General features: G+C 44.5%; 1 protein-coding gene and 1 long non-coding RNA gene across 33 annotated transcripts in view, besides 2 other annotated features; one reads left to right on the forward strand and one right to left on the reverse strand.

Moving 5' to 3' along the window:
• PPFIA1 (PPFI scaffold protein A1) overlaps positions 1–19,169 on the forward strand; it is a 113,707-nt gene that overhangs the window by 45,284 nt on the left and 49,254 nt on the right. For 16 of the 32 annotated variants that reach the window (XM_006718716.4, XM_011545309.3, XM_011545307.4 and 13 more), the window contains exons 3-11: positions 8,429–8,530; positions 8,874–9,038; positions 9,527–9,601; positions 10,289–10,390; positions 10,624–10,845; positions 14,200–14,346; positions 15,987–16,121; positions 17,049–17,123; positions 17,497–17,580. In XM_006718716.4, the coding sequence (XP_006718779.1) occupies positions 8,429–8,530; positions 8,874–9,038; positions 9,527–9,601; positions 10,289–10,390; positions 10,624–10,845; positions 14,200–14,346; positions 15,987–16,121; positions 17,049–17,123; positions 17,497–17,580 (1,107 nt within the window). The remainder of the gene's footprint in view (positions 1–8,428; positions 8,531–8,873; positions 9,039–9,526; positions 9,602–10,288; positions 10,391–10,623; positions 10,846–14,199; positions 14,347–15,986; positions 16,122–17,048; positions 17,124–17,496; positions 17,581–19,169) is intronic. The other 16 variants (NR_045286.3, XM_011545310.4, XM_047427766.1 and 13 more) reach the window with 1 other exon arrangement.
• Positions 4,459–4,640: a silencer, noted in NCBI's record as "fragment chr11:70166538-70166719 (GRCh37/hg19 assembly coordinates)". NCBI's record gives its function as "represses an EF-1alpha promoter that drives an FKBP-Casp9 reporter gene in an ReSE screen in K562 erythroleukemia cells {active_cell/tissue: K562}" and the evidence as "EXISTENCE:reporter gene assay evidence [ECO:0000049][PMID:32094911]".
• Positions 8,835–11,281, reverse strand: LOC105369373 (uncharacterized). Its single transcript, NR_188532.1, has 2 exons — positions 11,127–11,281; positions 8,835–9,154 (listed from the first exon to the last, which is right to left on the reverse strand). It is a non-coding gene; the product is annotated as an uncharacterized LOC105369373 (long non-coding RNA).
• Positions 13,399–13,535: a silencer, noted in NCBI's record as "fragment chr11:70175478-70175614 (GRCh37/hg19 assembly coordinates)". NCBI's record gives its function as "represses an EF-1alpha promoter that drives an FKBP-Casp9 reporter gene in an ReSE screen in phorbol 12-myristate 13-acetate-treated (for megakaryocytic differentiation) K562 erythroleukemia cells {active_cell/tissue: K562(+PMA)}" and the evidence as "EXISTENCE:reporter gene assay evidence [ECO:0000049][PMID:32094911]".

Raw genomic sequence — 19,169 nt, forward strand, 5'->3', positions numbered from 1 at the left:
GTGTTTTGTCTTTTCGTGACTGGCTTATTTCACTCAGCCCAACATCCTCAAGGTTCACCCATATTGTATTATGTGTCAGAATTTCCTTCCTTTTTTTTTAAATTTTTTTTTCTTTGAGACAGAGTTTGGCTCTCATTGCCCAGGCTGGAGTGCAGTGGCGCAGTCTCGGCTCACTGCAGCCTCTGCCTCCCAGGTTCAAGTGATTCTCATGCCTCAGCCTCCCAAATAGTTGGGATTACAGGCATGCACCACCACGCCTGGCTAATTTTTGTATTTTTAGTAGAGACGAGGTTTTGCCATTTTGGACAGGCTGGTCTTGAACTCCTTGCCTCAAGTAATCTGCCTACCTTGGCCTCCCAATGTGCTGGGATTACAGGCATGTGCCACCATGCCCTGCCAATTTCCCTTCCTTTTTATGGCTGAATAATATTCCACTGAGTGAAGTTTTATTTCATTTTCAGCAAAAGGTTAGTGAAATGTTGAAAAGCAGTTAAAAAGCAAAACAGAGCTATTGAAGGAGATTATAGAGAGTAAGAGATGTGGAATTGTAACATGGCCAAGTAAAGAAAACGGGAAGAGGAAAGGGTAAGGGGTGGGGCCCAGGCACCCACGTGAGGTTGGGGACCATGAGGCTCTGTTGCCCCTTTCCCACTGGCGATGGGGCTACTTCGAGGCATTGGGATGATGGGAAGAGGGCCCAGGCACCCACGTGAGGGTGGGGACCATGAGGCTCTGCTGCCCCTTTTCCACTGGCGATAGGGCTACTTCAAGCCATCGGAATGACGGGAAAAGATGGATCACTTTTGGCAATAAATGTCACATCTGATCTTAACTTGAAATTGACCTGATTGTGGCTTTTGAGTAATAATGTCTGGTCTATATAATATGAACCTGTTAGCCAGATCTAAACCTTTCGTTCAGAAGTGATAAACATCAGCATTATCAGGCATTATGTGAAACCAAGTTCTTTAGCTGATTTTAGTGTTACTTTCTGTTGTCTCAATCCTAGATAATGTCAAATAGAAATACATATTTGCATTCTTCAGATTTATATTTTAAATGAAAATATTCCGGTAATTATTGCATCTATTCTATTTCAGAAAATACTTGACACTTTAATTATTAAATAGAATGTCACTTTAAACTAGTGATATATTTGACTTACAGTATTTTTAAACTTAACATTTTTTTTTCCTAAATAGGAAAAAATGTACACTGACAATTAGATTCCTCTGATGTAATAAGGTAGATCATTTATTGCACATATTTGGGGTTCCTACTATTTTTTTTTCTGCAATAATAATGCAAGCAGTACATACAGGAACATGCTTTTGGGATCTTAAACTTTGGAATGTCCCGTCTAATGTTTACCTAAACTGCTAAGTTTAAATTTGCTTTGATATATTTTCAGTTGTTGGATTCTTCTGAGCAGAGAGAAAGGTTTTTTTCTTTAAGTGGAGTAATCATGAACGTCTATGAATTCGTTTTCTACTGTAGCCACAGCAGTATACCATAGAATAGTTTTGGTAGTTGAATATATTGGGAATACTTACATTTAACCAAAATAATAGAAATTCCCTGTATTCTCTTTGGTTTTAGAGGCAAATCTAAAATCTGGAAGTTGAAATGAGGATAGTTTGGGGTTCTTAGGAAAACCTTAGGGAAACTGTATGAAACAGAAAAAGGCTTGCTGCTGGTGCCGGAAGAGTGACAGCGTGCTGGGGGGTTTGTGCATGAGTGAAGGTGGGGCCAGGTGGGAGCCTTCCTGTTTCTGGATGGATGGTCTGTGCAGTAGTAACTCAGGCTGCATGGTTCTTGCATCATCCGAGTTGTGAAGTGCTCTTCCTCCACTTCCAGGTCCTCCTTGTTATGAGGACTTAGGCTTTGACTAGGGCTTTCATTTAAAGGTGACGAAATTTGTTCATAATAGACTTTTAAAAATAAAACACCGATATTCCACCTTCCTGGGACCGACAGTCCTAGGACCCTGCCACCTTGTCAGGATTCTTCATCTCCCCTACTGGTCCATTATTACCCTCCCAGCCCTGCCAGCCTTTCAGCTCCCTTGCCTCTTCCACTTCATTGCGCTTACCTGGCAGAAACCACCCCATTCAGTCCGTTCTCCATGCCCATTCACCTCCACTGACCCGCAGAGGCCCTAAGTGCCGCCAGCATCTCTGTTAGTGCATCCCGCCCTCTTTCTTCTACGCGGCATGCTGCCTACCCGTCCTCTCTTCTAGATGCCATTTCATACCTTCTCCTCTCCTATCTTCCCCAAATGTAAATGCAGAATGATGACATTGTGTTTGTTTTTTTCTGTGTGAAATTGGAAGAAATCAGAAAAGAAGTTCCACCAACTCCCACCACACCTCTGGATCTGCACCCCGCACCCCATGTCGTCTGCCCTCTTTCCCTTTACTGCGGGTGATCTGTGTGCCCCAGAAAAGGTCAGCCTCTCCTCTTAGTCACTTGACTTACCTGCTTTCAGCTGGACTCATCAGTTCCCACCTCCCCACTGGATTCTTGCCCTCACTATGCAAATGTCTGTCTCATCCTGCAAAGGTCTTTCTTGACCTCATATCTTCTCCAGCCACTGCACTGTTTTTCTTCCCCTTTACTGCAGAGTTCCTTGGAAGAATTTTCTGTACTCCCTGCTTTACTTCCACTCTTCCCATTCTCTTTGAACTCAGTCCAGTGAGGGTTTTGACCCGCCACTGCAGCATGCTGCAGATGTCACAGTCACCATCGATCTCCATTCCAGCAAGTCCGACCAACAAGCATCAGTCAGCTCATTTGATCCACTGGCATCAGTGAATACAGTTGATCATCCTCCTGGAAATAAGGATCTTCAAAGATCTTGAAGGGTTTCCTGGTTTTCCTCCTCATCCCTGATTGCTCCTAGCCTCTTTTGCTGATGCCCCTCAATGAGACTGTTGGGGGCTTGATCCCCATCTCTTCTCACCCTCCACCCAGGGCCTCACTGACTTGCATGGAACAAAATGATTATCCCCATTTGCAGTCTCTACAACACACCCAAAAACTCCAGACTGTGAATTGCGCTCAACTGTCTAATAACCATTTCAAATTTAGCACGTCCAAACCCAAACTTTTACACCTTCCCTTCAAAACATACTCTTCCCGTAGTCACTCCCTTCTCAGGAACCAATGACTCCATCCTTCACTTGCTTCCGCCAGAATCCTTGGAGGCATCCTCGTGCCTTTCTTTCTCTGCGATCTTTGACCTGTCAGGAGCTCCTGCTGGCTCTGTGGTGAACAGGTCCAGAGTCCCTGCTTCTCACCACCTGCGGTGAGCCCACCCTGGTCTGCTGCATAATTGCAGTCATTTCTTACCCATCTCCCCACTTCTGGCCTCACCTTCTCACAGGCTGTTCTGAAGACAGCATCCAGGGGAATCCTTTGAAAACGGGTGAAGGGCACGGCTCATGAGAATCCTTACTTAGGCTCTTTCTTTTCTCTAATATTGATTTTAGTTCAGATCCTCATTAATCCCTGGGATTATTGCAGTGAACTCACTGCTGATTTCCCAGTCTTAATCTCCTCCAGCCCGGGGGTAGCAGTGCTTCCAGCGACCTTTCATTGCTCCAACACACCCATTTTGAGCACATCCCTTATGCTAATGACTGACTGAGACTTTACCAGTTTTGCCCCATTTTCTGTTCAGAGTCCTCAAAGCCTGTAGATAAGGTGATTTCTATAGCCTTCAACATTAAATCCAGGTTTCATGCTGTGTGCTGTTGTTCTCTGAATGGCTGCCCACTTATGACCTCACCGGCTTCCTCCATACACGCTGCCCATGCCCCAGCCCTGCTGAAGCCCTTGCTTATCAGATACCTTCTGCTTTTGTGAAAGAGGCTCTCACTGGCTATACAGCATGTTCAGAATTCAGCTCAATTCAAGTGCTGTGTCCTTCAGCAAACCTTCCGAGAAGCACTCCCACTTCCCATCATGGATGGCTTCAACTCAGCTCCCGCAGTATCCTGGTCACCTCTCACCCAGAGCACGTACTGCTCTGAGGTTCCTGCCAGCTCGTCTGTCTGTTCTTTAAAGCATCCTGAGGAGTGGACAGGCCCTGTTTCTGTGTTGCTGCAGCGGCCAGCATAGACGAGATATGCACTATTTCTTGAAAGAACTGTAACGTCCGATCGAGGTGGAAGCACTCACTTGTGCTTTGATGCATCTCCCCTCCAAACACAACAGTGAAAAGGTACAATTTAAGTAGAGAAACAAACCAAAAAGCATAGCCAGCCCACCAAGCAAGAGAAATACCCTTCAGTACACAAACAGACTAGAAACCTAGCATGGTAAGCCTGAATTGACTGGATTTCACTGGCCACTGAGCCGCAGGCTCCAAGCAGGCAGTGTCAGTAGGAAAGTGGGTTCTTACAGGGGTAAGGGTAACAGGGACTAAAGTGTTCAGTGGAGTTAGAACTAGATGTAGCTACTTTTTTTTTTTTTTTTTTTTGAGACGCTCTCGTCACCCGGCCTGGAGTGCAGTGGTGTGATCACGGCTCAACCTGCTGGGCTCAAGCAGTCCTCCTGTCTCAGCTTCCTGAGTAGCCGGGTCTATGCTACTGGGTCTACGCATGGTGTGTGCCACCATGCCCGGCTAATTTTTTATGTTTTGTAGAGATGGGGTCTCACTATGTTGCCCAAGCTGGTCTTGAACTCCTGGGCTCAAGCAGTCCTCCAACCTTGGCCTCCCAAAGTGCTGAGATTACAGGCAAGAGCCACCATGCCTGGCCTTAGATGGTTTTTGGAGCTGGAGTTAGATAAGGTTTCCCCATCTAAGGCAATTCTCTGCTATACAGATTGGGGCTCTACTGGCAGTTGTGGTCCTAGGGAGGTAGAATGCAAGGCCTGGGATGAGCCATGCTATTCCATGGTTCTCTACCAGGGTCTGCACTGTTGGTGACATAACCACGCAACAGAATCCTGCATCACCATGGAAAACCTAGTTCTGGACGGAGGCCTTGGAAGGCTTGGAGGGCAACAACCACAGAACACTAGTGCTATGGGCTGAATACTTTTGTGTTCCCTGCTCTGCCAAAGTCATATGCTCAAATCCCACTCCCTGGTTTCACTGTATTAGAAGGTAGAGCCCTTGGGAGGGGATTAGGTCATGAGGGTGGACTCCTTGTGAATGGAATAATGTGCTTAGAAGAGACCCCATAGAGATCCCTGGTCCCTTCCATCATGTGAGGACATAGAAGCTGGCAGTTGGGCCCTCACCAGACACCAAATCTGCTGATGTCTTGCTTCTGAACTTCCAGCCTCGAGAACTGTGAAGAATGAATTTCTGTTGTTTAAAAGGTAATGGGAGTTAGTTACAGCAGCCTGAATGGACTGAGCCACTAGACAGGGAGGAGAGCACCAGCAACAGAAAACCTTCTGTCGCGATGAGCCCGAGACCCCAATTCCTCTATGCTCAAAGACCTCTAATACACATCCTCACAGAGCTGATGCCTTACAGAGCTGTGCATTTACTGCATCGGAAATTTAAGGACAGTCTGGCAAAAACTGTCAAAATAAGTATGTTTAAGATGCTTAAAAAGATAAATTAGCATCCATGAAAACAAACAAGAAATTGCCCAAAAGGAAACAAGAGTAAGAAGATATGACCCAAAAAAGAAAAAGAAAAAGGAAGAAGAACTTGAAATCTAGTAAATGAAAAGGATATTAGCCAGGATGATAGACTCTGGACCAGACATAGTCAAAGACAAAATTAGTGGATTGGCAGTTACTTCACAAAATTGACCCAGATGACAGGGACAAGATGGAGGGGCACAATGATAAAATTCAAGGTCCTGAATTCAGGCAGGCCTGTAGCCGACTCTGTACTTTGACTTGACAGTTATGTGCCATATTATGGCTATTTATTAATTATTATTTTTTGAGATGGAGTTTCGCTCTTGTTGCCCAGGCTGGAATGCAGTGGTGCAATCTCGGCCCACCGGAACCTCCACCTCCCGGGTTCAAGCGATTCTCCTGTCTCAGCGTCCTGAGTAGCTGGGATTACAGGCATGCACCACCATGCACCACCATGTCCAGCTAATTTTGTATTTTTAGTAGAGATGGTGTTTCTCCATGTTGGTCAGGCTGGACTCGAACTCCCGACCTCAGGTGATCTGCCTGCCTCGGCCTCCCAAACTGTTGGGATTACAGGTGTGAGCCACCATGCCTGGCCTAATAATGGCTTTTTAACTGAAGCTAGTTTGAGTCTGTTTGCTTTTTGCCTGCAAGAGAAATAATCTTTCCTCATGTACGAACCCCTTCATGAGATGACAGTGTTTCGTTAAAGTTAGCCATTAGATGATCTGACAGTCAGCTAGAGTTAATTATCAGAGATGTAAATCGGTATTTGATATGATTAATATTGGCACATAAGAAATCTCTGAAACTTAGGAAGGAAAACAAACTTGGTGGGAGGACATGGACAGAAGACCGGTCTACTTGGCGGCCTCTCCCTACCCTCCTCCCGCACGCTGCCCAGCCCAGGAGCCCGCTTCTGAATGCTGCGTTCGATCTCTGAAGAGGTTTCAGCACTTACAGATCCTTACCAGGTTTTAAGCCACATTTGGGTGATCTTCATTAGTATTGTTGGCATTTCTTTGTGTTTGCAAGTATGCACTGAAATACTGAATTGAAGAGCTATTCATGTTCTTTAGCTAATTTTATGGTCTCAGGAGCAGCCTTGTCTCCAAAACTCACTGTATAATATGTTTATAATGTCTATATATATTTAATTGCAATAAAATATACTAAGATAAAACTTGCCAGCTTAAGCAGTTCAGTGAATGCTAGATTCATGTAGTGGAATGTGCTTGTGTCCCCTCCCCACCCCCGCTGTGTTCAGCCTCTGCTGTTACTCCCCAGCCAGGCGCAGCTTTGGATGTGTCCACAGTCACCCTGCTGCTGTCTTCCACTCTCTCTGACCACACTCAGTTCTGAGCCCCACATATGTTTCTGTTGTCTTCAGCAGTGCCCTGGGATAATTAGAAACCAATTCAGTGAAATTGTGGCTAATTCTAAGAAACAGTTTCTGAAGTCATTTTAGGAGATTTGTTCCTACTCTGGAGGGCTCCTGCAGCAAGAATTCTCCAGCTCTCCCTGCTGACTAGCCAGCCGCAGTCCAGGCTGTGCCTCCATTAAACCCACACCTCCAGTTGCCTTCACTAGGACCTCCACTGCTCCTAGGTTTAAAGAGAGTGCCCAGGGTTTAAATGTTAGTGCCCTAACATTTAAAGAGGTTTAAATGTCACCAAACTCGTTTCTCCCTGAATGACGCCCCTGGTCTTATGGCGGCAGCCAGGGCCCTCTCAGCTTGTCACTCCAGCCCTGCAGCTACCGTCTTACAGAGCCAGGGCACAGCTGATCAGGACCCCCAGTATTCTCAGCCTGCCACACTCAAAGTTGAGCCTCCATTCCAGAATGGAGGCTGGACAGAGGTAGGAAGGCCCACTTTGCCCATGACTCCACTAGCCAGGATGCAGCATCAGCACCACGTAGCTGGGGTGGGGTGGAACTGGGGGAGAGGGCACTACATTATCAGCTGCAGCAGTCTGGAACAGAGTCGCTGCCTCACTGACCTGGAAAGGGGAGGCAGGGAGCAGTCTTGGTTCAAATACAACAGACTCTGGCCTTTCTTACTGAATTTTCAGTTGTTTGCTGTGAACCCTTAGAACGATCTCCAGAGTCTCAGAACAGTTGTTTTCTTACAATGTTCACCTGTTTTCCTTGGGAGCAAGCAGGTCAGTGGAGCTTCTTGTGCTGTCATGCTAGAAGTTGATTACCCACAGTAGGGATTCTTGCAGAAGAAATATTACTTTAGAAGAGAGGCTGGGCACGGTGGCTCAAGCCTGTGGTCTCAGCTACTTGGGAGGGTCACTTGAGCTCTGGAGGTCAAAACTGCAGTGAGCCATGGTCACACCATTGCACTCTAGCCTGGGTGACACAATGAGACCCTGTCTCAGAAAGAAAAAGGAAGAAAAGGAGGCTAGGACAGGGGTGGTGGCCTTCTAGGCCATCTTTCCTCTCTCTCCAGCAACTCTAGATCACATGTCTGTGAGTCATTTAAAATGTCTTCATTCAGTTCATGTCAGGATCCTGTTCAGGAAAATGTTTTGGACTTCTCTGGCTGCTGAGAAGGTGGACTTGGATTCCCCTTCTTTCCCTGCTGTCCTTGTCCCAGGGTGCAGGGATAGAGGGAAGTCAGATGGTCTGTCAGTGTTGTGATTTGTTAGGGAATCTGTGTGGTCCATTGATGCCCTCTTTCTCTGGAGGATCACTGAGATCCCTTCCCCATAACTTGTAATGAGGTTGCCTTTGTGTGAAGACTGTGGAGCCTTGATGAAAGGCTTTCTTTAGGGGGTCTTTCTTATTTATTTAATTTTGTTTTGTGATTTTCTAGGAGTTCGCAGCACTTACTAAAGAACTCAATGTATGCAGGGAACAGCTCCTTGAAAGGGAAGAAGAAATTGCTGAACTGAAAGCAGAAAGGAATAACACCAGGGTGAGTGTGACCTTTCTGTTCACTGCCTGCCCCTGGAGCCACTGTCAGGAGGAGGGGCGGTGTGTCAAAACGAAAGGACGACCCACTCTGTCTGGCCTGAAATACTTTTCATACCTTTTCCCACTGAGCAGACTGTGATTAGTCAGCATGATCACACATTAATGGCTTGAAATTTGTGATGAGAATTTATGATATTTTAATACAATTGAGAGGAATTTGTTTTTCTGCGGAATTGAAGGGACTTCATTTTAGTATGAGACTGTAAAGGAGTTATTTGCCCCAGATTCAATCATGAAATTAAAAATGCTGTTTAACAAGTCTTTATTTTGGCCTTTTATTTCAGCTGCTGTTAGAGCATTTGGAATGCCTTGTCTCCAGGCATGAGCGGTCTCTTAGGATGACCGTGGTGAAGAGACAAGCGCAGTCTCCAGCAGGCGTGTCCAGCGAAGTGGAAGTGCTGAAAGCACTGAAGTCCTTATTTGAACACCACAAAGCTCTGGATGAAAAGGTGCCATCAGCCACATAAGTCTTGGTTTGTGCACATGCTGTGTATTAGGCCAGCTTCACAAGTGTTGGTGTAACTTTTGTTTTTTGAAGCTTCTTGAATTCTTGGAAATAACTTCTCTAAGAAGACAGGGTTTTGTAGGTTTAAAAAGTACTAATTGGCTTAAATGTCTTAAAATTACTAATGTATATTGATTTGCTGTTACAAATTGGGTAGTATTAGGTTGTTGCAAAAGTAATTGTGGGCAAAACCTGCAATTACTTTTGCAACAACCTGATATTTCGGGGGAAGATTTATTTTTCTGAAACTTAATTTAGAGCCATTAACAAGTTTTCTTGACAGTAAGATCAATGACAGACATTAATGGTATTTTATTATGTTATATTACACTAATATATACATTAAGTGTATATATTACACTTAACTATATATTAAGAATAAAATAAACAGTATACACACACACACACAAACTCAACCCCTTTTATTTTCAGGTGAGAGAGCGATTACGAGTAGCACTTGAAAGATGTAGTTTGTTAGAAGAGGAATTAGGTGCCACACACAAAGAGGTAAGCTTGAGACTTCATCATGAGTTGAATTGGGGGGGGGTTATTTTTATCCTTTAATTATTAAAAGCAGCATAAGGCCAGACGTGGTGGCTCACACCTGTCATCCCAGCACTTTGGGAGACCGAGGCGGGCGGATCACCTGAGGTCAGGAGTTCCAAGACCAGCCTGACCAACATGGTGAAACCCCATTTCTACTAAAAATACAAAAATTAGCCAGGAGTTGTGGCATGTTCCTTTAGTCCCAGCTGCTCGGGAGGCTGAGACATGAGAATTGCTTGAGCCCAGGAGGTGGAGGTTGCAATGAGCTGAGATTGCACCATTGCACTCCAGCCTGGGTGACAGAGCAAGACTCTGTCTCCAAAAAAAAAAAAAAAAAGTAAAAGAAGTATAAGGACTGTAGTTGTACATATCACATGTTACTTATCTTCCCAATTGAGGACCAGCCTATCTGAGTCATTTTAAGGACTACAAAATGATGGTTACCTAAGGACTCGTCTGGCCAGTGGATAATAAATTCCATCTTCAATGATCTGGTTATTTTCGGATTGGGTAGCATTGCCATATGCTTTCTCTTTTATACTATGTTAAGCAGTTTTTAGTTGTGTTTTTCCAAAAGGAGTTTTGCTATCTTTACTTATTTCTCTTATGTAAGGTATTTTACACTCATATTCAATTTTTTGCTTTCAGCTAATGATTCTTAAAGAACAGAATAATCAGAAAAAAACTCTAACAGATGGAGTGCTGGACATAAACCATGAACAAGAAAATACACCAAGCACGAGTGGAAAGGCAAGTCTGTAGGCTTTGTCTTTATTCTGTTTGATTTCATTTGTTCACAGTATGTGTCGGGTTATGTGGAAAACAGTTGCTAAAGTACCGGCTTAGAGCTGAAGTGGTCATGAAAGTTGTGTAATCCAACAGATTGCATAAGTCAGTTTTGATTTTAGCTATTTCCTGGAAGTATTTTTATTTTATAGCTCACCAAACAAGGGTATTTAAGGATTTTTTTTTCCCCCTATCAGAGATCTTCTGATGGTTCTTTAAGCCACGAGGAAGACCTTGCTAAAGTAATTGAGCTCCAAGAAATCATAAGTAAGCAGTCAAGGGAACAGAGCCAAATGAAAGAACGCCTGGCTTCCCTTTCCAGTCATGTGACAGAACTGGAAGAGGATCTGGACACGGCTAGAAAAGATCTCATCAAATCTGAAGAAATGAACACAAAATTGCAACGAGATGTCCGTGAAGTGAGCAATAACAAAAACTACAGTCTTGTCATGAAGTTGTATGTTTGGGACGTTTTAGTTAAATGATTTTTTTTCTCTGTTTGTCTCTTACTCTCCCAATTACTTTCAACCTTTGGATTATTGTATAAGTTATATTGAAAAAGAGAGAGTGCTGTGAAACTGCCATAAGCTACCTCCCCATTTTTGTTGTGAAATCTCCTGTCCCTGAGCTCTTCAAAGTAGAGAACTAGTCCCACTGACTGACATGGCCATGAAGTGGACGCCACACTGGCCTCTCCTACCTGTGCTGCTTTAATATTCTTTAATGTCCTTGTTTGTAGATTCTTCATCTGTGCAATTTCTAGGCTGTCTTAATTTGTTCTTATGTTCAGATTGCCTTCTGTTGCACACATACTTAGCAAGCAGATATTGATACTGGCTGTGCTAGCTCACGTAGGGCAATGTGAGTATAGTCTCTTAACTGTGGGAGGGGGCGTTGCTGGCGGTCTTCTCATTTTCTGACCTGCTCCTTCAAGGAATTTGTGGCGTTGAATATTAATGGTCAAACAATCAAGAGTGGAATTTGCTTCTACATGGGTCATCAGGATCGTATAGCAAAAATATGTCACAATATACTCATTGCTGACAAATATTTCTGCCATTATAACTGTGAGAAACTATTTGATCATGAATGCCGGGCGTGGTGGCTCACGCCTGTAATCCCAGCACTTTGGGAGGCTTAGGCGGGCGGATCACGAGGTCAGGAGATCGAGACCATCCTGGCTAACACGGTGAAACCCCGTCTCTACTAAAAAATACAAAAAAATTAGCCAGGCGTGGTGGCGGGCGCCTGTAGTCCCAGCTACTCGGGAGGCTGAGGCAGGAGAATGGCGTGAGCCCAGGAGGCAGAGCTTTCAGTAAGCCGAGATCGGGACACTGCACTCCAGCCTGGGCGGCAGAGCGAGACTCCGTCTCAAAAAAAAAAAAGAGAGAAACTATTTGATCATGAAACAGTGAGGCTGAGTGCTTTCTCAGGTGCCCTTCCTGTCACTTTCTAACCTGCGCTTTGTCCCTTGTCAGGCGCCTCAACCGTTGAATGTCTGCTTTTCAGTTTGGTAGTTTGACGTTGAGTAATTTCATGTAGGAATTCACCACAGGAAGAACATTTGCATGTAGTATGTCACCTAAGGTTCTATTCTTTGGCTACAGCAGGAGATTATGTGGCAGAGATTAATATGCAGAGAATTTTGAAATTCTTTTAAGACCTATCACTTTTATTTTTTAATTTTTTATTTTAACTTTTAAGTTTGGGGTACACGTGTAGGTCTGTTACATAAGTAAACTTGTGTCCTGGCGGTTTGTTTTACAAATTATTTCATCACCCAGGTACCAAGCCTAGTTATTTTTCCTGATCCTCTTCTTCCTCCTATCCTCCACCCTCCACCCTTTGATAGGCCCCAGTGTGTGTTGTTCCCCTCTGTCTGTCCCTGTGTTCTCATCAGTTAGCTCCCACTTATAAGTGAGAACATGAGGTATTTTGTTTTTCTGTTTCTGTGTTTGCTAAAGATAATGGCCGCCAGCTCCATCCATGTCTCTGCAAAGGACATGATCTCATTCTGTTTTATGGCTGCATAGTATTCCATGGTGTATACGTACCACATTTTCTTTATGGAGTCTATCATTGATGGGCATTTAGGTTGATTCCTTGTCTTTGCTGTTGTGAATAGTGCTGCAGTGAACATACGTGTGCGTGTGTCTTTATAATACAACGATTTATATTCCTTTGGGTATATACCCCGTAATGGGATTTCTGGGTTGGTATTTCCATCTTTAGGTCTTTGAGGAATCTCCACACTGTCTTCCACGATGGTTGAACTAATTTACCCTCCCACCAAGAGCAGGAAAACATTCCTTTTTCTCCACAACCTCACCAGCATCTGTTACTGATTGACTTTTCCACAATAGCCATTCTGACTGGTGTGAGATGCTGTCTCATTGTGGTTTTGATTGGCATTTGTCTAATCGGTGATGTTGAGCTTTTTTCCCCTATCACTTGTAATATTTAGACTTTGCTAACTTTAGTCATTTTATAAATAGGGAACAACTTGAAAATAGTGAATTCTGGGGGTGGAGGACAGGTATTTCTCAAGCAAAAAGTTCTGGTCCTAGCCTTAAGTGTTTGAAACTGTATAGTAATCATCTTGTAGACTTCAGGTAGTTGCATCCAATTAAATTAAACTGGTACTTCTGTTTCCATTTGTCAATATGCTTGAGTCTTGTAATTGTATGAGAGTTCATCCAACCCTTATCCTAGAAAGTGAGACTTGTATCTCACTACTGTGTCCACTGAGAGAGGCCGCACCCTGTCCTGTGTGAGACCATTTGTAGCGTGAGGCAGACGTAGACTGCGTCTTCTTTGAGGACACTTTCACCTCCTTGAAAAATATTTAGATATTTGAGTGTATATATTTTTATAATATTATGTAGAAACAGGAAAGCTTGGTCAACTGAGTGGCCAGACATAGTATTAAGAGAGACAAGTCTTTGTTAATCGTATAGGTGAATATTTATGGTATTTGAGGTAGTTACATTTTCATTCACATTTGAGAAAATTGACATCTTCATCAATTTAATTTTGAGGACATTATTATTTATTTATTTATTTTTGAGACAGGATCTCTCTCTGTTACCCAGGCTGGAGTGCAGTGGCGCCATCATAGCTCACTGCAGCCTTGAACTGCTGGACTCGAGCAATCCTCCTGTCTCAGACTCCCAAGTACCTGGGACTACAGGGGCGTGCCACCATGCGTGGCTAATTTTTGTTTCTTTAAAATGTTTTTGGCCAGGGACACTGGCTCACGCCTGTAATCCTAACACTTTGGGAGGCCAAAGGAAGGCCAAGGAGGATCTCTTGAGCCCAGGAAACTCAAGACCAGCCTGGGCGATATAGTAAGACCTCTATTTCTACAAAAAATTAAAAATTAGTTGGATATAGGAGTGTGCGCTTGTAGTCCCAGCTACTGGGAAGATTGAGGTGGAAGGATCCCTTGAGCCTGGGAAGTCAAGGCTGTGGTGAGCCTTGATTGCACCACAGCATTCCATCCTAGGTGATAGAGGGAGACTCTGACTCAAAAAACAAAATAAAATATTTTTGTAGAGACAAGGTCTTGAACTCCTTGCCTGAAGCCATCCTCCCGCCTTAGCCTCCCAAAGTGCTGTGATTATAGGAGTGAGCTGCTGTATCTGGCCTGAGGATGCTAATTTTTAATTTGATTGGAAATTTGGGATTTACTTCAGTTTTTTTCTCTCTTAAGTATCTTAATGTGTAATCGTTAATTACCTACTTTTTTGTCCCCTCTGAAATACCTAATTTAGGCCATGGCCCAAAAGGAAGATATGGAAGAGAGAATCACTACTCTTGAAAAACGCTACCTCGCTGCACAGCGTGAAGCCACATCTGTGCATGACCTCAATGATAAACTTGAAAATGAAATTGCAAATAAAGATTCTATGCATCGACAGGTAATGGATTTTATCGACCTTTGTCTGGCTTTAGTTAATTATTAATGAAGTTAAAGACCCTTTTTCTCTCACTTTCATGTTGGAAATCAAGTCCAAATATCAAGTTTTTATGACCTTAGAATATTATGTTCAAGACATGTGGGAGTTCCTTCAGTTTAGAGGTTTTGATTACGTAGGATTTGATTTAACCAATTTTGTCCTCAGTTTTTTCTTTTGTTGTAATTGAAAGTTAATCTATTGCTTGTTAGCATTTTTACCAAAGGAGCAGAGAGTGGCAAAGAACTTCAAGGCAATTGGCTATTTGTAACTAAGTGGGAGCACTATGATACATGAATAGTATGACAAATGAAGTCTTGGTCGGATGCGGTGGCTCATGCCTGTCATTCTAACACTTCGGGAGGCTGAGGTGGGAAGATCGCTTGAGCCCAGGAATGTGAGAACAGCCTGTCTCTACAGAAAATTAATAAATTAGCCGGGCATGGTGGCATGTGCCTTTAGCCCTAGCTACTCAGGAGGCTAAGGAGGGAGGATGACTTGAGCCCTGGAGTTCAAGGCTTCATTGTGCTATGATTGTGCCACTGGACTCCAGCCTGGGCCACAGAACGAGACCCCGTCTCTAAAATAAAAAATGCGGCCAGGCGCGGTGGCTCACACCTGTAATCCCAGCACTTTGGGAGGCCGAGGCAGGTGGATCATGAGGTCAGGCATTTGAGACCAGCCTGACCAACATGGTGAAACTGCGTCTCTACTAAAAATACAAAAATTAGCTGGGCTTGGTGGCGCGCATCTGTAATCCCAGCTGCTACTCAGGAGGCTGAGGCAGGAGAATCGCTTGAACCCAAGAGGCGGAGGTTGCAGTGAGCCGAGATTGTGCCACTGCACTCCAGCCTGGGTGACACAGCTAGACTCCGTCTCAAAAAAAAAAAAAAGGCAGTGAAGTCTGTAGTAAGAAATTGGGTCTCCTGTGGTTTCGTAAACCATACTTATTCTTGTAATTACGAGTATCACTGTATTCCAGCCTGGGTGACAGAGCAAGACTCTGTCTTTAAACAAACAAAAAAAAAGCTTCTTAAAAGTTATTTAGGAAAAGCAAACACTTTGACAAGAGGTGTTTTGCACATTGAAACCAAGACCAGGAAAGTGGGCATGTACTCCTGGCAGCAAGAAAACCTTACCCAGGCCGGGCACAGTGGCGCACACCTGTAATCCCACCACTTTGGGAGGCTGAGGCGGGTGGATCACTTGAGGTTAGGAGTTCAAGACCAGCCTGGCCAACATGCCGAAGTCCTGTCTCTACTAAAAATACAAAAATTAGCCAGACCTGGTGGCACATGCCTGTAATTGCAGCTACTCAGGAGGCTGAGGCAGGAGAATTGCTTGAACTCAGGAGGTGGAGGTTGCAGTGAGCCAAGATTGTGCCACTGCACTCCAGCCTGGGTGACAAAGCGAGACTATGTCTCAAAAACAAAAACAAAAACAAAAACAAAAACAAAAACCTGACCCAGAAGCAACTCCCATCACTGTAGCTCTTCCATCATGACTCTCTTAGTCTGTATCTGCATTTCAGTTTGTTTCAATCTGTTAAAAACTGATCAGCTAGAAGATTTGTTGCATTTTGATGCTTTGCTCTCATTTTATAGACTGAAGATAAAAACCGCCAGTTACAGGAGCGCTTGGAATTGGCAGAGCAAAAGCTGCAACAGACACTGAGGAAGGCAGAGACGCTCCCGGAGGTGGAGGCGGAGCTGGCCCAGAGGGTGGCAGCGCTTTCCAAGGTAGTGCCATGAGCTTCATTCTGGTTCGGCTGCCAGGCCTGTGACTGTGCCTTGCCTGTGTACCTTGTTTGTCACTGTTCTTATTACATCAGCACCTAAATCCGTGGAAGAGCACGGATTTGGTTTGAGTGCTCTTTCATCTGAGATTGGAACACTTTGTAAATGCCAGACATGATCCTTTTATCCCGAAGTCTACCTTGGTTTTGTGAGCTGTATACTATTTGTCCACGGCATGTGTGATCTGAGAGTTACTGCTTCTTAGAATTGTTTTGGTCACCAGCTTAAGCATAGGATAGAAGTCTCTGTAAAAGAAGGGTAGTTTTTCTCAGAAATAGGAAGATGCCGTTCTTTTAAAAACACCATCAAGATAAATTCTTCATAAACACATTTTTAAGTAATTTTATTATTTTGAAATTACTTAAAAATGTATTTTTAAGTAATATTTATTATTTTGAAATTACTTAAAAATGTGTTTTTAAGTAATATTTATTCATTTGTCCAACAACTGTTGACTAGGCATGTGCAAGACACAGTCCCTCCAAGTTCTCCCCATTCATGAGGGAAGCAGCTAAAGAGGCAAATGCTGTCATAGGTCCTGGGATCGGCGAGTACCCAGGGAGCGCATCACCGGGCACAAACCCAGCCTCTGGGGCGTGGGGAGCCCAGCACTGCAGTGCCAGGCAGGCGAGCAGCAGGAGCTGAGGCCCCTGTCTGTCGTCCTGAGTCTTCTTGCTCAAGCTTTTCAAGCTGCTGGGGAGGGCATCCTTCTGGACCATTCAGATGGTTTTAGGGCTCACACACCTGTTCCTTCTAGCAAGTTTGTTGCTAACAGCTGTAAGAACCTATCCTCCCACTCCATGATCTGCTTTTAAAGTCTCGATTTCTTTTCTCCCCTGTTATCTTTCCTGTCCCTTGTCGGCTTTGTAGTCTGACCTTTTGTCTTCTGGGAGCTCTGCTGCTAAGGAAGCTAAACTGTTGGAACTTACTTCCAAGCTTAGGAAGGTAGAATGGGTGCACTGCTCCTTGCTTGTGCTTGCCGCTGCTTTCTGCTTTCCATGCTTACTAACCAGAAGCAGTCCAAGGATGGGAGAATCACGACTCCATTGAGATTGGGCATAGGGGTTGGGGGGAAAACACCCAGTCAGTCGCCAGCAGCAGCCATGCTTCAGAATCACCAACACAAGAGGGCTAGCCACCTCATGGCCCAGCACGTGAAGCCCCGTAGGCTGTGTTGATGGATGAGTACATGCTTTCCATTTAGTATGGCGGAGCAGCCCACGCAGAGCATGTTGTGCCTGTTGCCACTGCAGTGGTATGCAGCATGTCGTTAATGAAGTGTAAGGATGACGTCAGCGTACGCTGTTTCTGCTGACAGGCTGAAGAGAGACACGGCAACATTGAAGAAAGGTTACGACAGATGGAAGCACAGTTGGAGGAGAAGAATCAAGAACTGCAGCGGGTGAGCATGCAGCCCTGAGGGTGGGGGCGCTGAGTGGGTGCTGCAAGGTCATTGCTCGGCTGTGGGGAGCTCAGGGCCTCCCACCCCTGACTGAGATGTTGGTCCTCCAGCTCAGTTCTGGTCGCGTGCATTTGTTTTGCACCCTCATCTGTGAGTCGCCTGCTAATGCGTACATCCCACACAGTAGTTGTTTTCAGTCAGTATTGGGAGCTGCGGAAGAAATTTGAGATCCTAGGCAGTACTTCAGGTGTCCAAAAATGCTTCTTGCTTGTCTAGCGGCCTATCAGGGGAACTGTTCTAGGTAGCTGTGGTACCGGCGTGGCCCCCCTACCCCCTGCAAATGTAGAGGCAGGTCCATTGTCCTGAATGACTAGTCCACTTTTCTAGGATATGGCACTGAATTCCCACATGCAGGTCAGAGGCCTGACCTCTGTCCCAGGTTAAAATACTCCAAACATAATGGCGTGTTGGAATGAATGTTTCTAAGCAAGAGCAACACCGTAATTGAGCTACAATAAAAAGCACTAGGAAGGAGTGTGGCAGTGGAGACTTCTGTCCATTGAATCCTAAGATTGTTTTCCTGAAAGAGTTGGGTGGATGTCAATATGGAACATCCAGGAAAAAGATATAGCAAGAGCAGTCCCAGGGCCAGCTGGTACCAGGCCTGGGGTTTGGGGTAGATTTCTCTTTAACAAGTAGGTGGAGAAAGGAAGCATGCAGCGTCTAATTTTAGAACTCTTGCACCGTCACATCAGCCCACTTTATAACATTAATTTAAGGCTACTAGATTTTGTTTTCACCAGAAATCTGTATTCTTGGCCATGCCCTGCAGAGAATCAAAGGAGCTTCTGGGAAACGACGATTCCGACTCCCAGTGAGAGGGTGCATTTTAGGCAGTCCCCACCTCCCCTTCCAAAATGCACACTCATGCTCACAGACACAACAGTGAACTTTAAGCTGTGTTCTTTAAAAATTATTTAAATGCTGACGGAAAATAAGCACAAAGAAGGATATTGTTTCTTTCCCAAGAGGAAGTATGCGATACTCCGTATGGCACATGATGTGCTGGACCCTTTCAGGTAATGATAGTTGCTACATGTTAGACCTTATGAGAAAAGGAGAGGTCACTACCCATGTTTTCCCAGTGCAGAAATTGGGCGCACGGGGTTCGAATGCACTGCTGATGGCGCGGTCTCATGGCTGTCTCCTCCTGCCTGGGCAGCATGACTCGGGTGCACGTCGTAACCCCGTGCCATTGCCTCCTGCCTGGGAGGAGCCCCCTGAGCACTGCAAGGGCACTTGGGCGATGAGGGCATGGAGGTGCCACCTGGACAGGTGCCACCTACTGACACTTCCTGTCCCTTTCTGCCTGTCATTTGAGAAACAAAGGTTTTAAACCATGAATTTGATTATGGTTTTATAAAATAATAGACATGTCAGTTTTGTTACTACATATTAAAATTACTTAAGGTAATTATTTATAATTTTTGAATGTAAATTTCCATTACGAGAAATTTAAGCAACATAAAGATATAAAGAAAAAATATGAAGGTCTCTCTAGCACAATTTTTTTTTCCAAAACAAACTTT

The sequence above is a fragment of the Homo sapiens genome, chromosome 11 (assembly GCF_000001405.40).
Source record: "Homo sapiens chromosome 11, GRCh38.p14 Primary Assembly".
Classification (NCBI taxonomy): domain Eukaryota; kingdom Metazoa; phylum Chordata; class Mammalia; order Primates; family Hominidae; genus Homo; species Homo sapiens.